We start from the raw sequence: 21,183 nt of genomic DNA, 5'->3' as shown, positions 1-21,183 counted from the left end.
TATTATTTTTAAGGGTTTCTACATTCATACCCCAAACTATCTTCTAGTGGTTGCCTCTCATTATTCTGCAACAGCTTCTACATTCTCTTTGGCACAGACCTCATGAATGGAAGTTCTAGTCTCACAGACTCTGTACAGCCTCTCTCTCTCTCTATGCTTCAAATACCTCCCATTTTTAAAGAACCATTTAAAAATATATTTCTTCTGAGAAGTCACACATACTTCCTTATATAGCTGTCCATATTCATAGCTGTTACAGTTTTCATTACCCATTTGAACTTAATTTATTGAATGATATTGTTGGTTACTTTTTACATATTTATATTCCACTTGTATAGCTCAGAGCATTAATTCTTTGATGGGGTTACAAGTCTGTGCCTTTTTAAACCATCTTTGAAACTATGTCAGTGCCTCGGTTAATGCTAAATAAATAGTTGCTAAGTTAAATTGCCTTCCTAGCACACATAGTATGTCTAATATATTTGCTTGTCTCGATAGGCAGCTTAAAAACTCTCTGGAATCTGCCCTTCACTTTATCATTTATTTCTCCATTCTCTTCTTCTTGTAGCCCATTGTATTCAGGGGCTGTTCAACAAATGTTAATGGCCATGATCTTTTCAATCAGCAATTTGTAAAGTGGGTGATTATTATCTATAAGTGACAAGGGAGACACTATTTTCTATTTATGCTAATAAAAGACTTGACTTATGAAGACAATATCTACAAACAGTGAATGGTAAAACTAAACTCCTTAGTTCTTCCAAAGCAAATATGGTCCATTTTCAGGAGGAAGAGTGACATCTATTGTTCAGAAGATACTTGTTGGTGTTTTCTGTTTTTAATTTCTGCATCGATTCATGCCTGTGTCAACAATATAAGCTATAAATAATAGCATGTCTAACACAAAGTGGTACTTGTCGGCCCTTTGTCGCATTGGATATCTAATTTCAGCCCTGTTTGGTTGTAAAGCTTATTGGCAGTTCACACATTCAGCAGTAGCTGTATTTTAATCCATGCCTGTTTAAACAGCAAGTCACTGAAGATTGGAGAAGGGCTATGTGAAAACACAACTAAGCCACAACTTTTTAAATTCCTGAAGAAAACCATGACTTCTGAAGAAATAATTCCTTTAAGCATGCCTGGTGAAATTTGACTTCTTTGTATAAAATTATAGTTATCTAATTTTAAAGAAGAAAAAGAAAGCTTTAAGTTTTATGTTACATGTGACCTATGTAAAAATAACTTCTCCTAAAAGGTCATTGTCAACAGCCATGCTGACACTGACTTGTATGTAGTCAATTTGTATTAATATTTTCTTGAAGATGGAGAATGGCCCAGTGGGGATAATCTGTCATCCAGCCTCAACTTCAATACCTCCAATGACAGAAATTTCACTCTTTTTTGAGGCAGCTACAACATAACATGGTACAACCTGTCTTAGCTTTGTTATAGTGTTGTTGAACAGATCCATTGGTAACATGTGCATGAAAGCATTTTGAAATGTGTTGAGTACTACTACAAGATGTGATGAATACAGTGAAAGCCATGTCTATTCGGAATTCTAGAGGAAGCAGTTCATCTGTATGACATAACTTTTACAAGCTGATTATCCCTTTAAATACTACACAGTCTATATTGGAAACTGTGTTAGAGATTGGTATTTCTAAAGAATATAACCATCTTTGGAGTTTTTTAAAAAGTTTGTCCAAAGATAGTTTAAATTTCCATAAAGTGCTCACATCAGCATTTAAAATACTCTAATTTATATGTTTTATAAATTATAAAGTTATATTAGTCACACAACACAAAATACTTACTATGTCCTAGATGCACTATATGTTGTGGCATAAAGTCCATACCCTCAAGACAGTCTCAAAATGAGTTGATTTCAAAACAATGTGGGATGAGAAAACTGGAGAACATAAAAAGGAGGATTTAGGCCCAAAGTTATAAAAGATATAGTGGAATAATTGCCAGAGGAACTGATAACATAGAATGTTTATGTGTTAATCAGATGAAAATAGAGGAGGGGGCAAAGTGAAGGGACAAGAAAAGTAATTCTAGGCAAGAGAATAGCATGAGCCCAGGCACAGAGAATAATCTACTATATAAGGATTGGCTGAGAAGGGAAGGAGAGAAAGAGCTGAAACTATGGTCAATGGATGTTTCCTTTTCTCTCAAGGATGTTTAAAAACTGAAAAGGAGGAGCCAGTAAAGATCCAAGAGTGTAGTAAATGAAGAGAAACAGTATACTAGAGGGAGATGAAGAGAGACTTTATAGTGGAAAAAATAGAATCTAGTAACGATAGTTGGGTCTTTAAAATGAGAAGGACATCTTATCCTCTGAGCCTGAGAAAAGTAGGGAAAAAGGAAAACTAATGATGGTAAATTTGTGAGGAAAAATTCAAGGAAGCACGTATCTGGTCAACTCAAGATATTTGCCAATTTTGTTTCCTTTTGGTCAGCTTTGTTATATGCATCATTTACATATGATAAAATTCATCAACTCTATGTGTATAATTTGATGTTTTACAAATGTATACAGTAATGTAATCATCACCATAATCATGACATACATTTTTATCACCCCAAAAAGTTCTAACATGTGCTTTTGTAACCATTTTCTTTCCTATACCTCCTAGCCCCCCAAAACCATTGATCTTCTTTCTGTTGCTATAATTTTGTTTTGTTTCTAAAATTTCTTACCGATGAAATTAATACAGTATACTGTCTTTTGTATCTAGCTTCTTTCACTTGAGATTCAGCTGTGTTGCTTGCATGTTTTGATAGTTCATTCATTTTTATTGCTAAGTGGTATTCCTTATATGAATAAAACACCGTTTATCAATTGACCAGTTGATGGATTAGATTCTTCCAAGATTTTGGCTCTTATAAATAAGATTTCAGTAAACAATCAAATACAAGTATTTTTGTTAACATAGATTTTTATGTTTCTTTTGTAAATATCATGAAGTGGAATGGCTGGTAGGTGTTATGTCTAACATTTTTAAAAAAACTTTTAAACTATTTCCAAAGTGAGTGTACCATTTTACATTCCCAATAGTAGTAGTTGAAAGTTTCCATTGCTCTACTTCTTCATCATACTTGATATTATCAGTCATTATAATTTTAGAATTCTAATAGGTGTGTAGTAGTATCTCACTGAAGTTTTAATTTGCATTTCTCTAATGATGAATGATGTTGAGAAATTTTTCCACGTGAGTGTTTACCATCCATATATTTTCTTCGATGAAATGTCTGTTCATCTCTTGACTACTTTATATTGGAATATTTGCTTTTATATTATAGACTTTCAAAATTCTATATATATTCTGAATATAAGTTCTTTATCAGTGATTTGCAAATAATTTTTTGGAGTCTGTGGCTTAACTTTTTAATCTTTTAGTGGTGTGTTCATGAAAAAGCCAATGTTTTAAAATTTTGATGAAGTCTAATATCAGAATTTTTCTTGCATAATCATGCTTTTGGTGTTGTACCTAAGAAACATTTGCTTCACCCAGAGTTGCAAAGATATTCTCCTATATTTTTTTCTCTAAATTTTAAAGTTTAAATTTTACATTTAGCTCTATGATCCAGTTTTAGTTAATTTTTATATATGATATAAAAATACAAATAGACATGGTATACGAATTTTCTTATTTTTTTCAAATATGGCTGTCCAAAAGTTCAGCACCATTTGTTAAAGGGATTATCCTTTCTCCACTGAATGCTTTTGCAATTGAAAATCAATTGATCCTATATGTGTGGGCCTATTTCTGGACTCTATTTAGGTTCCACTGATCTCTCTGTTACTCTCCAATACCACATAGTCTTGACAGTAGTAGTTGTATAATAAACCTTGAAACCAGATAGCATAAATCCTCTGTAGTGGGCTGAATAGTGGTCCTCCACAAATGTCTATGTCCTAATCCCTGGAACCTGTGAATATTACCTTATTTGGGTATAGGGGTCTTTGTAGATGTAATTAAATGTAAGAGTTTCAGAGAATGAGATTATCTGAATGGACCCTAAATTCTTTTAAGTGTCCATAAAAGAGACACACAAAAAAACACAGACACAGAGGAGGTGGTGATGTAACCACAGAGGCAGAGACTGGAATGTTGTGGCCACAGGTCAAGGGATACTGACAACTTCCAGAAGATAAAATAGGCAAGAAATGGATTTTCTTTTATAGCCTACAAAAGAGCATGACCCTATTGACACATGATTTCAGAATTCTGGTCTCCAGAACTGTGAGAGAATAAATTTCTGTTGTTTTAAGCCACTCAGTTTGTTGTAACATCATGACAGCCACCCAAAACTAAGACATCCTCCAACTATGTTTTTCTCTCACCATTGTATGTATGCTACTTTATATTTCCTTATGAATTTTGGAAATACCATGCCAATATCTACAAAAATGGCAGGAACTTTGATTGAGATTGCTTTGAATGTACAGATCAATTTTAGAATAGTTAGCACCTTAACAATAGTGAGTCCTTCAGTCCACCTGTATGGTATCTCTGTCCATTTTTTAAGGTTTTTCAGAACTTAAGTTAGCAATGTTTTTGCGGTTTTCAGCATATAGTTCTTGTACATCTTTATCAGATGTATTCATAAGTATTTTATGTTTTGATAATATTAAAATGGTTTTGTGTTTTAGATATTCAATTTTTGATTATTCATTGCTAGTATACAGAAATACAGTGGGTTTTTAAAATATTGATCTTTAATCCTGCAACCTTGATAAACTAACTTATTAGTTGTAGGAGCATTCTTTTTTAGATTACAAAAAATTTCCTATGCAGCCAATGATATCATCTGCAAATAAAACAGTTTTACTTCTTCCTTTCCAAGATGGGAATGATGTTTTGATTTCTTTTTATTGCCTTATTACACTGATTAGAACCTCCAGTGCATGTTGAATAGAAGTGTTGAGAGCAAGCATCCTTGCATGTTCTGATCTTAGAGGAAAATACAGTAACTCAGTCTTTTACTAATAATGATATTAGTTGTAGATTTTTTATAGGTGCCCTTTATCAGATTGAATAAGCTCCTTTCTAGTCCTTATTTTCAGTTTTTTTTCTTAAATCAGGAATAGAGTTTGCATTTGCCAAATGATTTTTTTTATCTATTGAGATGATCATGTTGTTGTTGTTTTTGTGTTGCTTTTTTTCTAGTATTTCTGATGTTTCTGGTCTGTTAATACAATAAATTGTATTGTTTTATTTTCAAATGTTGAATCAAAGTTGCATTCCTAAAATAAACCTCATTTGGTCATTATGTATAATCACTTTAATATATTGTTGGATTCACCTTGCTAAAAATTTATTTTAGAATTTTTGCATATATGAACATAAGGGATATAAGTTCATAGTCTTATTCTTGCAGTGACCTTCTCTGATTTTGATATGGGAGTGATGCTGACCTGATAGAATGAGTTAGGAAGTCTGTCTTCAAATTTCTGGAAGTGTTTGTGTAGAATCAGCACTATTTCTCACTTAAATGTTTGGTAGAATTCACCACTGAAGTCATACAGGCCTGGAGTTTTGGTTTATTTGTTTGTTTTGTGAGAAGTTTTTAAAGTACAAATTTAATTATTTGAATAACTATAGGGGTATTAAATTATCCATTTTATTATTTAAAAAATTTTTATTGATACATAATACTTGTACATATTTATGGGGTACATGTTATATTTTGTTACATGCATGGAATGTGTAATAATCAAATCAGGGTATTTAGGATATTCATTAATTCATTACCTCAAGTATTTGTCATTTCTATGTATTGGAAACATTTCAAATCCTCTCTTCTTGCCATTTTGAAATAAATAGTACATTGTTGTTAACTATAGTCACCTTATTCGAAGATTAGAACTTTTTCCTTCTATCTAACTGTATATCTGTACCTACTAACCAACCACCCCCTGCCTCGTTGCCCACATCCTTGCCAGTCTCTGGTATCTATCATTTTACTCTCTACCTCCATGAGATTAACTTTTTAAGCTCCCACATGGAAGTGAAAACATGTGATATTTGTCTTTCTGTACCTGGTTTATTTCACTTAACATAATGACCTCCTCTTCCATCTATGTTGCAGCAAAGTGACAGGATTTCATTCTTTATTGTGGCTGAATTGTATTCCATTGTGTATATGTAGCACATTATAATTTTTTAATTTTTTATTTTTTAACTTTTATTTTGAGTTCAGGAATACATGTGCAGTATTGTGCAGGTTTGTTACATAGGTAAATATGTATCATGGGGGTTTGTTGTACCAATTATTTCATCACCCAGGTATTAAGCCTACTATCCATTAGTTATTTTACCTGATCCTCTTCCTCTTTCTGCCTTCCACCCTCCAATAGACCCCAGTGTGTGTTGTTCTCCTCTATGTGTCCATGTATTCTCATGATTTAGCTCCTTCTTATAAGTGAGAACATGCAGTATTTGGTTTTCTGTTCCTGCAATAGTTTGCTAAGGATAATGACCTCCAGCTCCATCCATGTTCCTGCAAAGGACATAATCTTATTCTTTTGAATGGCTACATAGTATTCCATGGGATATATGTACCACACTTTATTTAACCAATCTATCATTGATGGGCATTTAGGTTGATTCCATGTCTATGCTATTGTGAATAGTGCTGCAATGCACATACAGTTGCATGTGTCTTTATAATAGAGCTATTTATATTCCTTTGGGTATATATCTAGTAGTGGGATTGCTGGGTCAAATTATACCACATTAAAAAAATCTATTCATATGTTGATGGATATTTAGGTTGATTCCATATCATTGCTATTGTGAATACTGCTGTAATAAATATGGGGGTACAGATGTCTCTCAATATAATGATTCATTTCCTTTGGATAAATATCCAGTAATGGGATTGCAGAATCATGTGGTATTTCTGTTCTTAGTTTTTTGACAAATCCCCATACTGTTTTCCATACTGGCTGTACTGGTTACCATTCTCACCATAAGTGTATGAGAGTTCCCTTTTCTCCATATCTTCATCAGAATCTCATTTTTTGTCCTTTTAATAGTAATCATTTTAACATTGGTAAAATGACATCTTATTGTGGTTTTTATTTGCATTCCCCTGATGACTGGTGATATTGAGCATTTTTCATATACCCATTGGCCATTTGTATGTCTTCTTTTGGGGAATGTCTATTCATGTCCTTTGCCCAGTTTTAAATCAGATTATTATTATTATTATTGTTATTATTAATTATTATTATTACTATTGAATTGACTCCCTTAAATATTTGAGATCAGTCCAATGCCAGATAATTAGTTTACAAATATTTTATCCCATTTAACAGGTTGTCTCTTCACTCTGTTGATTGTCTTCTCCACTATGCAGAAGGTTTATAGTTTGCTACAGTCCCATTTATTTATCATTGTTTGACTTTGCCTGTGCATTTGAAGTCTCGGCCATAAAATCTTTGCCTAGACCAATGTTCTGAAGTGTTTATGTTTTATTCTAGTAGTTTTATAGTTTTTGCTCTTACTGTTAAGTCTTTAATCCATCTTGAGTTGATTTTTTGTATTTGCTGAGATAGGGATCCAGTTTCAGTCTTCTGCATATTGACATCCAGTTTTCCCAGCACCATTTATCGAAGAAGGTGTCCTTTCCCCAATGTATGTTCCTGTCAACTTTGTTGAAAATCAATTGGCTGTAAACAGTTGGATTTATTTCTGCGTTTCTATCCTGTCCCTTTGGTCTATATTTCTGTTATTATACCAATACCTTGCTGTTTGGTTGCTCTAGACTTGCAATATATTTTGAAGTCAGGTAGTGTGATGCCTCCAGCTTTCTCGTTTTGGCTAGGATTGCTTTGGTTAGTCAGGCTCTTTTTTGGTTTCATGTAAGTTTTAGGATTGTTTTTCCATTTCTGTAAAAAAATGACATTGGTATTTTGACAGGGATTGCATTGAATCTGTAAATTGCCTTGGGGAGTATGGTCATTTTAACAATATTAATTATTTTGGTTCATGAGCATGGAATGTCCTTCCATTTTTTTGTGTTGTCTTCAATTTCTTTCATCAGTGCCTTGTAGTTTTCCTTGCAGAGGTCTTTCACCTCCTTGGTTACATTTATTACTAGGTACTTTTTGTGGCTATTACAAATGGGATTTTGTATTCTGAAACTTTACTAAATTTATTTATTAGATCTAAGAGTTTTTGGTAAAGTGTTTACATTTTTCTAGATATAAGATTATATTCAAAAAGGGCCATTTTGACTTCCTCTTTTCCAATTTCAATGCCTTTTATTTCTTTCTCTTTCCTGATTGCTCTGGCTAGCACTTCAAGTACTATGATGAATAGGAGTGGTAAAAGTGGAGTTCCTCGTGTCTTGTTTTAGTTTTCAGAGCAAAGGCTTTCAGGTTTTTCTCATTTAGTATGGTGTTAGCTGTGGGTTTGTCATATATAGCCATTATAATGTTGAGGTATGTTCCCTCTATGCCCACTATGTTGAGAGTTTTTATTATGAAGGGGTGCTGAATTTTATCAAATGTTTTTTCTGCATCTATTGAGATAATTGTAGTTTTTCCTGCATTGGGTTAATGTAAGATATCACGTTTATTGATTTGCATATGTTGAACATCCTTGCTGCTTTGGATATATCTCCCTTGATTATGGTGTGTTATCCTTTGGATGTGTTGTTGGACCCAGTTTTCTACTATTTTGTTGAGGATGTTTGCATCTATGTTTAGCAGGGATATTGTTCTGCAGTTTTTGCTTGTTTATTTGTTTCATCTTGCCTGGTTTTGGTATCATGGTAATGCTTGCCTCATAGGATGAGTTAGGGAAAATTCCATCCTCTTCAATTTTTTGGAATAGGTTGAGGAGAATTGATGTGAGATCTTCTTTGTAAATCTGGTGGAATTTGTCAGTAAAGCCATCTAATTCTGGGCTTTTCTTTTTTGGGAGACTTTTTATTATTGATTTAACCTCATTACTTGATATTGGTCTGTTCAGGTTTTCTATTTGAGACTAGTTTTCTGGGTCAGAATATGGTCTCACTTGAAAATGCAGTGTGGGCACTTAAAAAGATGTATGTTCTCATGTTTTGGGGTGGAATGTTTTATACTTGTCTATTAGATCAAGGTGATAATTTGTATTGTTCAGGTCTTCTATATTTTGTTACTTGTTCTACCAATAACTGGGAAAGAGTGTTGAAATCTCCAAATATACTTTTGTGTTTGTTTATATCTCTTTTCATTTCTGTTGGTTTTGCTTCATATATTTTTGAACTCATTTATATGGTGCAAAACATTGAGAACTGTTATGCTCTCTTGATGAATGAACCAGTTTATTATTAGGAAATTACCTTTCTTCCCCCGGTAATTTACTTGTCTGAAATTTACTTTTTTTGATATTAATAAACCCATTCTAGCTATCTTCTGTTTACTGTCAATAGTATATTTTAACATCATTTTACTTTTAACCTATTTGTATCTTTATACTTAAGGTGAGTTTCATTTTAAACATCATTTTATTTTAACCTATATATATCTTTATACTTAAGGTGAGTTCCTTGTAAGTGGCATGTTGTAGGGCCTTCCTTTCTTATTCAATGTTAAAAATTCTACTTTTTAGGTATTTAGACCATTATCATTTAAGGTGAATATGTATATGGTTGTGTTTAAACCTGCCATCTTTTTCTTTATTTTCTCGTTGTCACATTTGTTTATGTTATTTTTCTTCTTTTTCTTTTTTATGATCCCATTTTATCTTTATTGTTGGATTATTAGTTATAACACTTTGTTATGTTACTTCAGTGGTTGCTTTGGAGTTTATAATATGTATTTTTGACTTACCAGTCTCCCTTCAAGTAAGTCTTTACTTCATGTGTAGCATACAATAGAAACTTCCATTTCTCTGCTTCCTAACCTTGTGTTATTCATTCATTTTGCTGCTACATATGGTATAACCCCACATTACACTGTTACTATTTTTTTAAACAGTTGACTATCTTTTATATAGGTTTAAATAATAAGAATAAAATACATTATATTAACCTATGTAGTTATTACTTATGACACTCTTTATTCCTCTGTGGAGGTTCGAGTGTCTATCTGAAATCATTTTTCTTCTGCTTGAAGGACTGCTTTTACATTTTTGCTTGCATTATCATTTGGTGACATTCTCTTTTAAGTACAGACAATTTTTTCCCAATATTGAATCAGTACATTTCTTACTACTCTAACCCATTCCCTATCAGATATAGTGTTTCTAGTCTAGCTGTTAAAGGCCAGCACTATTCCTAGGAGAGTGTTGACCATGTTTCCCTCTAATTCTTTCAAGTGGTTCTTTCTCTGGCCTTAGGTAATTTTCTCACACATAAGTATGGATAAATACTCAACAGAATACTCTGAGAAAGACCCTCTGTAAATTTCCAGGGTTCTTTCTCTGCGCAGATCTCTCTTCTCTGATATTTTGCCCTGTGAACTCTACTCAGCCTTGAATTCTGAGAAAACCCACGTCCATCTCATCAACTCAAGGAGACAGGCTCTGCTTGAGTTTCCTCTCACTTTGCTTGTTGCTTCCTAAACATCTCCTCCAAGCAGTAAGCTAAGGCAATAGTACAGCTCACCTTATTGGTTTTTCTCTTTTGTTGCCTGAGGTTCAGTATCACTAAAACCATTTATTTCATACATTTTTATAGTTTTTTAGTTGTTCCCATTAAAATAATAAATCTGGTGCCTGTTACTTCATCTCGTCTGAAAATAAAACGTGGAATTTTTAACTGTATTTAATTTCAATTAATTAAAATTTAAATAGTCACATCTGGCTATATTGAATAGCACTAAATAGAAGGTACTGATTACAGAGATATTCACATAGTGAAATTTCACTGAACTGTGTACTTATGATTTGCACACTTTTATGTATGTGTAACACTTCAACAAAAAATGGCTGAAGAATTAAAATGCTATTCTTAAACTTGTTCATCAGAAACATCCTTTTTTTCTGAATCGCTGCTCAGGAAAGCTGACTCTCTCTCTCTCTCTCTCTCTCTCTGTGTGTGTGTGTGTGTGTGTGTATGTGTGTGTGTGAGAGAGAGAAAGAGAATCATGAAAGTTTTAGCAAGGAAGAAGTAACCAAATAATGCTCTCATTATTTTATTTTCCAGGAAAGATGAAAGAATGAATGAGTGGTAAGTAAAGCATCTCTATATAAATTACATATGCCACATTCACATTACAAGATTAAGAATCGTGTCATCTTTAAACTCCAGTGAAATTAAACTGAATGATAAAAAATATACCAGGTATAGTAACTTTACTTAATATCTTATACCTGATTTATTCTTATTATATACTGGAGTTAGTTTAACTTGTGTAATTCCTACCTTTAAAAAAGGGTTTTTTTTTAATGTGCCTAGCCCTAAGTGGTTCAACTTGGCTTGATCTTTGCATATGACAGAGGTATGAGGAGGCAATGTGTATTTATAGCATGAGGAGAACTGTAAAATGGGTCATGTTTTTAATTTTTTGAATAATTCTATATTTCCCTATAGCCTGATTTCCTTTATATGTGGCCTGTTTCTCTTCCTGGGGATGAGTCTGACTTGGTCATTCTATTAATTTTTCTTTCTTTTTTTGAAATGAAGTCTTGCTCTTATCCCCCAGGCTGGAGTGCGATGGCGTGATCTCGGCTCACTGCAACCTCCACCTCCCGGGCTCAAGCGATTCTCCTGTCTCAGCCTCCCGAGTAGCTGGGATTACAGGTGCCTGGCTAATTTTTGTATTTTTAGTAGAGACAGGGTTTCACCATGTTGGCCACATTGGTCTCAAACTCCTGAGCTCGTGATCTGCCCACCTCTCCTCCCAAAGGGCTGGGATTACAGGCTTGAGCCACCATGCCTGGCCTAATTTTTCTCTTTTATTCATGGATCCATCCATCCATCCGTCTATTCATCTATCTATCGATCTATCCATTTATCCAACACATATAGATTACCTGTTTTGAATTGGGAAAATCACTTTAAAAAGAATAGATATTTATCTTAATACAACTTACAAACCAGTAGGTACAACACATATGAATGAAATAATGATTTAAGTTATCATACATGGTATAAAAATGTACAGTGTTAAGTGAGGATATAGCAATGAGACCAGCTCTAGTGTAATTGGGTCAGAAAATGAGTCTTCATAGTGATATTGATGTGAAGCCTGAAAGGTGAGTAGAAATTAGACCATGGGGCTGGGGTAGGAAAAGTTCATAAAAAATTACAGGCAAAGGTAGAACATCTACAAGTGTGCTGAAATATGCATCTATAAATGCAGGAAAGAGCTTCATAATTTTTGAGGAAACTGAAGAAGGTCATTGCAACTGGAGAACCTAGAGTAAGAGAAAGTGACTTGAGGCAAGGCTGAATGAAGGCATAAATCAAGCGATGCAGGCCTCATTGGTCTTGCTGGGGATTTTTGTCTTGATCATAAGAGCAATGCAAAGCATCAAGTAGTTTCACGCTGGACAGTGAGAAAGTCCAGCTTATATGTTAAAATAATCCCTTGGCTGTACTGTGCAGTTTAGATTAGGAAGGAAAAAAGCATAAAAAGTATAAAAGTATATGTGGGCTCAGGAGTAGAAGGGTAGATTTGGGGAGAATGGTTTGTATACCATAGAGATAAGAAATAGTTTAGGCTGGGCGCGGTGACCCATGCCTGTAATCCCAGCAGTTTGGGAGGCCGAGGTGAGTGAATCATGAGGTCAAGAGATCAAGACCATCCTGGTCAACATGGTGAAACCCTGTATCTACTAAATATACAAAAATTAGCTGGGCGTGATGGTGCGCACCTGTAGTCCCAGCTACTTGGGAGGCTGAGGCAGGAGAATCGTTTGAACCTGGGAGGCAGAGATTGCAGTGAGCTGAGATCTGACCACTGCACTCCAACTGGTGACAGAGCGAGACTCTGTCTCAAAAAAAAAAAAAAGAGAAGAAAAAAAAGAAATAGTTTAGATTAATGGAGATTTAATGAACCAATTAAAGCCATTCTTACTGGGAGTATTAAGGGGAAGAAAAGAGAGAGTTTTTTTCCCATCACACTAATAGCTTATGTTTCTGGATTTGTCACCGTACTCGTTTCCATGAGATGGAGAGCACAGACTGTCTTGATGGGGAATATCTAGGAATCCCTTCTGGAGAAGCTGAGTTTATGGAGGTCAAAGAGCTGAGTTTATTATGATGGTCTAAATAAATATATGCCATTGTTTCACTATTATTCTTATTTTTAATTAAAAAACAAGAGGATTGGGTGGGAACTCTGTCAACCAGTAACTACAGTCTCTCTTGAGACTGACTTATCTACACATTTTATAGACATATTTATGACAAAATTATTGCTTATTACAACAATTCTTCCTGACAACACATTTTTATCAATGATTTTGTTTGTTTGTTTAACTTGAATGATTTGTGAATATTTCAGGGTAGCTCTCTGATCAACCAGACCAGACTTTGTAGGATAATTCTACCTCTTACGAAGTGGGTTACCTTGGTCAACTTACTCTACAGTGTCTTTTCCTGCAAGATAATAGTGATATAATGTAATGTCTTATTATCAAGTTTAAATGAACTTATGTATTTAATCTCAGGGAGAGATTATAATATCGTATTATTGTAACTTACTTTTTAGTGCCAAAATCAGACTGAGGAATAGATAAAATTAGTATTAAGTGAAATGATGCAAAAAAGAATATTTTCAAGTAAGAACATATTTCTAAAAATGCTTATTAACTTGCATTTACTATGTGCTTCAAAATCCTCTCTTAAAAGTGTGTCACTGTTTTTTCCCTTGAAGCAAAAAGAAACTTTATAAAAGATTAAACAGACAAAATACGGAGATATAAATAATGAGATCCAACTTTTTCTGTGTATATTGGGAATTTCCCCTTTATTTTATAGGTTTGCACCTAGTAGCATGAACAATTTGCCTCTAACAGAATTAAAAGTGCCTTTAGGACTATCACAATTACATACTAGAACAGAATTTGCCAGCGAGAATTTTATTATGAAATGGGGCTGCATTGCAAAAATACTTGTTTCAACTACAAATGGGAAAATAGCTTCAATTAGTTCTCTGAGGAACCTTGACTTATGTAGATTAGGTGATGAAATCAAAGGAGTTTAAGTTACTGGATTTACTAAATTCAATTTAAGGTACTACTTTGGGATATCACATAAAATGCTTTACTCAGAAAGTATTTATTAGTAAGACAAAATGAAATAATCACTTTATGCTTCTAGAAACTATCATGATTTCATACCATCACCTGGAGAAAAAAGTAAAATATTTAAAACCTGTGAAGATACATATATATATATATGAATTGAAATCTAACTGTGTTAAAAATTTATGGAAGTTTGAAAATCTAATAAATTTGATATTCACATTTAAATACTGTCTTTAAAAAATCTTCAAGTAAAGAAAGCAATTTAGATGCACCTTTAAAAAAAATCCAGACAGACAAATTTTTTACTTCTAAAATGAGAATTTTCCTCCATGACACAAATGTTCTAGAAGCCTCCAGCAGACAGAAGGCCCCAAACAGAAGTTGGAATAAACATGATTTTTCAGTTCAAAGGAACATTTGATTCACAGAATTGGCCTCCTTCCTTAAGAGGTTGAGCTGTAACCAGGGCAGCACAGTCCTCAAGACAGTGTGGCAGAAAATGAAAACAGAGGCCTAGTTTTTATTACCTCTTCTCCTGAAGAGCTTTGTGTTAGAAGCGGGGTTGTGTTACAAGTAGGAAACTTTCAGCAGTATACAAGAAAAACTCATCTCAAAATGATTTAAATAACAATGGGCATTTATTATCTCACAACATTAGAAGTTCTGAGGAAAAGCAGCTCCTACATTGGATTAATTTAATGCTCAAACACACTGTCTAGGAAGCAGGCCCTTTCCATACTTCCTTTCTGTCATTCTCACCTCCAGACCCAACACACAGCAGAAGAAAAATAGCATGTTTCCTTAAAAGTGTGGAAACCTTTCTCCAAAGCTCCACAGCTATCTTCCTTTCATATGTCACAGGCAATTATGAATCCTACTGATGAAGGGTATTTTCTTGACCCCTTCATGGGACTGTGACAGGGGTGCCCTGTTTACTTAGCCCACAATGCTCAATCCCTCGTGGGAGGGAGTATGTAAGCGAGCTAGTGTAGGAACCAGCCGGCTGCTTTGGCACCCGTAGAAGCAAACTCCGTGCAGGCCCTGCGGCAGCCTCCAGGTGGGGGTGCCTGACCTCAAGGCCCCAGAAGGCATGTTACAATGCTCTCTTAACTCTGCCATCCGCAGACAGCAGTGTGTTATCAGCTCAGTGGGCCCTTTGCCTCATCACGTGGGGTGGCTGTCCTCTACCAGTGAGGGCAAAGGGCCAGTGTGACAGCATTTTTGTGTACCTGCACTTGGTGGGTCCTGAATTCTTGTTCAATGTCCCAGAAGAATGAGGTCACGTGGATGAATTGAAAGATAGTGGATGCAGAGAATTTTATTGAGCGATGAAAGTGGCTGTTGGCTGAGAGAGAAGCTGGAAAGAGGATGAGAAAGGCAGGTCACTTTCCCTTGAAGTCAAGTCGCGCCTCTGCCTCTCTCTGCTGTCCAGCCATTGTCTCTGAAGTCAAGTCGCCTCTCCTCAGTGTCCAGCCACTTCTCCCTTCTACCAGCTGAGTCTGGGGTCTTTATAGGCACAGGCTGGGGTTGGGGTAGACCATAGGCAGTTTTGGAAAAGGCAATATTCAATTGGTAAAAAGACATTATTTAGAAAGAACCAATTGGGAGAGAGTGGGCAAATAGGGATAGAAGTTCTCACTTTGAACCATGGGTTTCAGGCTTTTCGGCTTGAAGGTGGGGCTTCATCAGGGACCTGCCTCTGTCTGCCTAGAGTTTCTCTGCCTCCTGTCTCTATCAATATGCCCTTTCCTAAACCAGTTATTGACAAGGGGAATGGGATTACCCTTTTTGCCTTAGACCATGGGTAGGCAATCTTTCCCTTTTAGGAGCCAGGTAGTAAATGTTAGGCTTTATTGGCCATACTGTCTCAGTCACAATGACTCACTTTTGCTGTTGTAGTGCAAAAGTAGCCACATACCATGGTGCATAAACAAATGAGCATGGCTGTGTTCCAACTACATTTTATTCCAAAAGTTGGGAGTACAGATTCAGCCTATGGGCCATAGTTTGGTGACTTCTTCTTTAGACGAATTGGGATTTATCTTTTACAGGATTTCAACATATGACTTTTAGGGGAGGCACATTCAGACCATAATACCATGCACCCTTTCTTGAGAGGATCAGGAAAAATAACTAGTGGGTACTCGGGTGCTGAAACACATGCAAAACCTATCAGGGTACAAAAATGTTTCTCTTCTTTTATTCCAGGGTCATGTCCAAGATCCTTAGATTAATAATTTAGAGATTTTTGGTGATATCTGAGCCTTCTGCTCAACCTAATTTTTTTCTGTTTTTGTTCACTAAAAAGAGGTACTCGAAAAGTCAAATACTCATTTGCCCCTTCTTTCCCAGGACTAGTAAGAAAAGTATATTTGAGAGTTCCTTTCAAGAAAAGCTCTCTGCTCAAAATAATCTCTTTTACTCTGCCAGCAATTACACCAGTGAGATTCATCTCAGCATTGAGGGGCCACTTACATTTCTTACCATGTGACTCTGTCCATCTTCAAGCCAGGAGTGACATGTTAAATCATTTTTGTGCTTCCAATGTCTGACTTCCTTTTCTGCAGCCAGCCAAAAACACTGGTTTTTTTAAAGGGCTTTTGCAACTAGTTCAGACTCACTGATAATCTTCCTATTTTAAGGTCAGTTGTGCCATAACCATAACCTAGTCCTAGGAGTAAAACCTATCACATTCACAGACCCTGGGAATGTGTATAACATGTGATAGACTGGAGGAATGGAAAATCCTGGGAAACATCTTAGAATTCTGTCTACCACACACCTACAGCTAGAGCTTACATACAAAATTTCAAAACATCAAGGGGTTAAAAAGATTCTAAAGTAGAAAAATCATATCAGCATATCACATTCCATATACTACGTAATTACAATTGACTAGTATTAGACTTATTTCACCAGTAACAATGGCTATTGGAACACAGTAAAACAATACTTTTAACTTTCCAAGGTAAATCTTTTTTTCAATGCAGAATTCTATTTCTATCCAAATTATCACTTAAGTACATGAGCAGAGTGCAGGTATTTTTAGATATGCAAGGAGTCATAAAACTTTTATTTCCCATGTGTCTTAGTCCATTTGGGCTTCTATAATAAAATAGCATAAAATGGGTGGTTTATAAACAACAGAAATTTATTTCTCACAGCTCTGGAAGCTGGAAAGTCCAAGATGAAGGTGTTAGAAGGTTTTGTATCTGGTGAGGACCCTTTCCTGGTTCATAGATGGCACCTTCTTGCCATGTGCTCACACGGTAGAAGGGGAGAGCAAGCTCTCTGCAGTCTCTTTTATAAAGGCAGTCATCCCATTCATGAGGGCTGTGCTATCATGACATAATCACCTGCTAAAGGCCCCAACTTTTCATACCATCATCTTGTCGGTTAGGATTTTAACATATGAATTTTAGGGGAGGCACATTCAGACGATAATACTATGCACCCTTTCTTGAGAAGATCAGGAAAAATAACTAACTAGTGGGCATTAGGTTTGATACCTGGGGACTAAATAAGCTTTACACCAATCCCCTTGACACAGTTTACCTATGTAAGAAATCTGCACATGTATCCCTGAATTTAAAAATAAAAGTTAAAAAATAAACTTTTTGTGTAAGAACAAATGTCACTTTATTCTCAATGTGAATATAAACTAATTATCTGAAATTAGATGAAACATTATGTATTATCCACTTTATTTCTATAAAACCACTATCATATAAAAAACAGTTAAAGGAGATTTAAAAAATCAAGAAAGAGGATAACACCAGATTCTGTATAGAGTAGATTCAACATGGGAAAGCAGGGTAGAGAATTCTGGGATGGAAGCTGCTTGGCAGGTCTAGATAATCGGTCTAGATTGGAGCTAGGAAAAAAAAAAAGTTTCCATAGAAAAAAATAATTGTCCTTCAGCCTCAACTTCTTCAACCGCAGATGACTCTAATAATAGTACCTACTTTATAAGGTCATTAGGTTACTGAGGCCACTAAATAAATTAACATTTGTAAAGTACTCAGAGCATTGTCTTACATTTATAAACACTTCAAAAGTGTTTGTAAATTAGATTTGGTGGTAACTATAAGAAGAACTAAAGAGAGAAATGGTTTATGGGAGGTAGGTCAAGGCTTTTGCTTTCATTCAAGTTCTTTCTATTCCATACATTTTTTTTTAAAGTGATGCTGGTCAACAATGTTAACTACTTCAGATATATTAAATAAGAGAATGTCTAAGATGTATCCACTGTATTTATTGTAAGAAGGTAATTGGCAATTTTAGCCATAGCCATTTCAGAAATATGATTTTTATTTAAAAAAAAAAAAACCAGAAAATCTAGTAAGTTTGGGAGTAATGGAAGGTGATAGGCAGTATTTCTTTTTTTGTTGTTATTTTCCTTGTATGAAAAGATTTAATGAATTATGAGCCATTGATCATTACAGACTTTAAACCTTAATATTTCTTCTTTCCTAAGTAAAGCCAGGTAATTAAAACAGCCTATCTCAAGTACGACAGAAAACCATAGTAGGAATAAGAATCATAGTAATGGTGCTTCCACAGTATAAGTATTTCTTTCAAAAAAATGTGACTTTGACGAGGAACGGTAAACAGGATGGTAGCAAGGAAAGGAAGAAAGTTGAAGGAACATATGTTTTTACTTAGAGACTCCACTCCTAGTCATCTCCCTTAGTTCTCTCCTCTTTTTTTTTTTTTTTTTGAGATGGAGTTTTGCTCTTGTTGCCCAGGATGGAGTGCAATGGAGTGATCTCAGCTCACCGCAACCTCCACATCCCAGGTTCAAGCCATTCTCCTACCTCAGCCTCCCGAGTAGCTGGAATTACATGCATGCACCACCACACCACACCCGGCTAATTTTTTTTTTTTTTTTTTAATTTTAGTAGAGACGGGGTTTCTCCATGTTGGTCAGGCTGGTCTCAAACTCCCAACCTCAGGTGATCCACCCGCCTTGGCCTCCCAAAGTGCTGGGATTACAGGCGTGAGCCACCGCTTGTAGCCCATCTCCCTCAGTTCTCTCAAGCCAGCCTAACTAAAAGTGAGGATATAAAATTTTGATACAGATAATTTTTATAATTTTATGTAAAGTGTAAGTAAGTAAAAACAGCTTCAGAAAAACCACTGCTTTTATTGATCTCTAACGAATAAGCTGGGTAAAAGCCATTGTTTGCAGTGCAAACACAGCTCTAACACAGGATCTGCCGTGCAGCCCTAGACAGAGCTTTGAGCCATCCTAGGTAAAAATAAAGGTGAGAAAGATCCAAGGAGAACAATGCAAACCCATCTGCCCTCTGTTCCCCACTCCTTGTCAAGCTTCATTTCACCCCAGTGCAAGAACGGAATCCACACATAGGCAGAACAGTTGTCTGGAGAGCAAGGGTAGACTTAGATCATTCTTCTACACCAAAAATGTAGGGGCCAAGTGTTGATGTTTTCTGAAAATGTTCTTTGGAGGATGGTCCAGGGAAAGACCGGGTGACCGAGAGTGGCTCAGCTAGTCATTCTGCTTACTTTGAAGCCAGGAAGAGTTTTTCATTTGTGTGTGTGTGGTTTGGGGACCATCAAATACATATTCATTGAACCAGTAGATCAACACAAAGTTGCTCAAAGTGTGGAATATAAACTGATGTTTGCCCAGGAATCATTTGTTACCAGTCTGTGGTGGTAATTGAAGGTAAGCATTTATTTTTATAGCAATTTCAAAGTGTAATTTTATATGTTTCAAACATATTCTTGAAATATCTGAGTCAGTATCTCTTCTTGTTTTTTAAAATTTTATTTTGCGAGTAAATCTTTCTTTTTTAAGCATCATTACAAAAGTGACAAATTGTAATTTTAAGAAGTCCTTCACCATAGAGAGTCTGAGAAGCACTGCTTTAGAGCACCTGTTACAGGGACCCTGGACCTCAAGAGGACTTGGGATCGACCTCCCCACCAAACTGACTGAGGACTGTGTGTAAGTCATTTAACTCTTGGAGACTTCATGTTCTCGTCTTTTAGTTGAGGGCAAATAATTCATACCTCGGAAGGCTACTGTGGGGGTGAAATGAGATAAAGAATTGGTGATTAACTGTTTCTCTGTGTAGAAAGAACACTTCTATGCAGATTGGACTGTTGTAGCTGTTCTGTACATGATTAAAGAAAACATCTCTGCAGTTTCTATGTGAAATAGTGCTTCATAAAAATGTTTTGTGTCCTAACTCATTTTAGGGCTCTTTTGCAAAGTATCTCATTCCAATGTTTGTATCGAGCTGTGCAGTGACAGGTTTCTTTTTTGGGTGATTAGTGAACAAGTAGCATTGCTTGGGCTTTTATCTCCTTTTGCATTGTCTTGTTGCTTGCTGGCAGTGCCTTACATTCCTAATTTAGTGGGTGAGAATGAAATGTGGTTGGCAAACCCTGTAATGCTGAATTACAATGTCATGGATCTTTCACATTCCTTCCCTAGATTCTGCTGATCTTCTGCATAGCAACAGACCTGGTTTACCTTCAGAGACTCATCAAACTATCTGAGAGAATGCAATTCCTTTAAGATCTCTTTTCTCTGTGTGTGTGTTTTTAAATATACTCTTGCATTTTAGTAGTTAATTGAGATGGGATTCATGCATGAGAGATTTACTGAATTTGTATCTGATTAGCCAGGGCCACTTTATACTCTGTAATTGTAGATGTGGTTTTTAAACTGACAATTGTAAGTTTGCATGTATTCTTTTTCTCCTAACTCTGTTTAGACTTTGTATTCAGGATAGAAATTACCTTTTCTAAGAAGTTTTACCAAGCTGAGTGTAAATCTATAATACCTCAGCAGTAAAACAATCCCAGAGGGATAATTTTGTGCAACCATTTCAATCTTGATACCAATTAAAATGGTATGATCTATCTCACCGCCATCACACAAAACAGGTTTCTATGCCATCTCCTCACCTCTTGCTTAGAGAAAACCATCAGATTGGTTCTATTACAC

This window comes from Homo sapiens, chromosome 12, assembly GCF_000001405.40.
Source record: "Homo sapiens chromosome 12, GRCh38.p14 Primary Assembly".
In the NCBI taxonomy this organism is placed as follows: domain Eukaryota; kingdom Metazoa; phylum Chordata; class Mammalia; order Primates; family Hominidae; genus Homo; species Homo sapiens.
Note: the sequence above shows the minus strand (reverse complement) of the source record.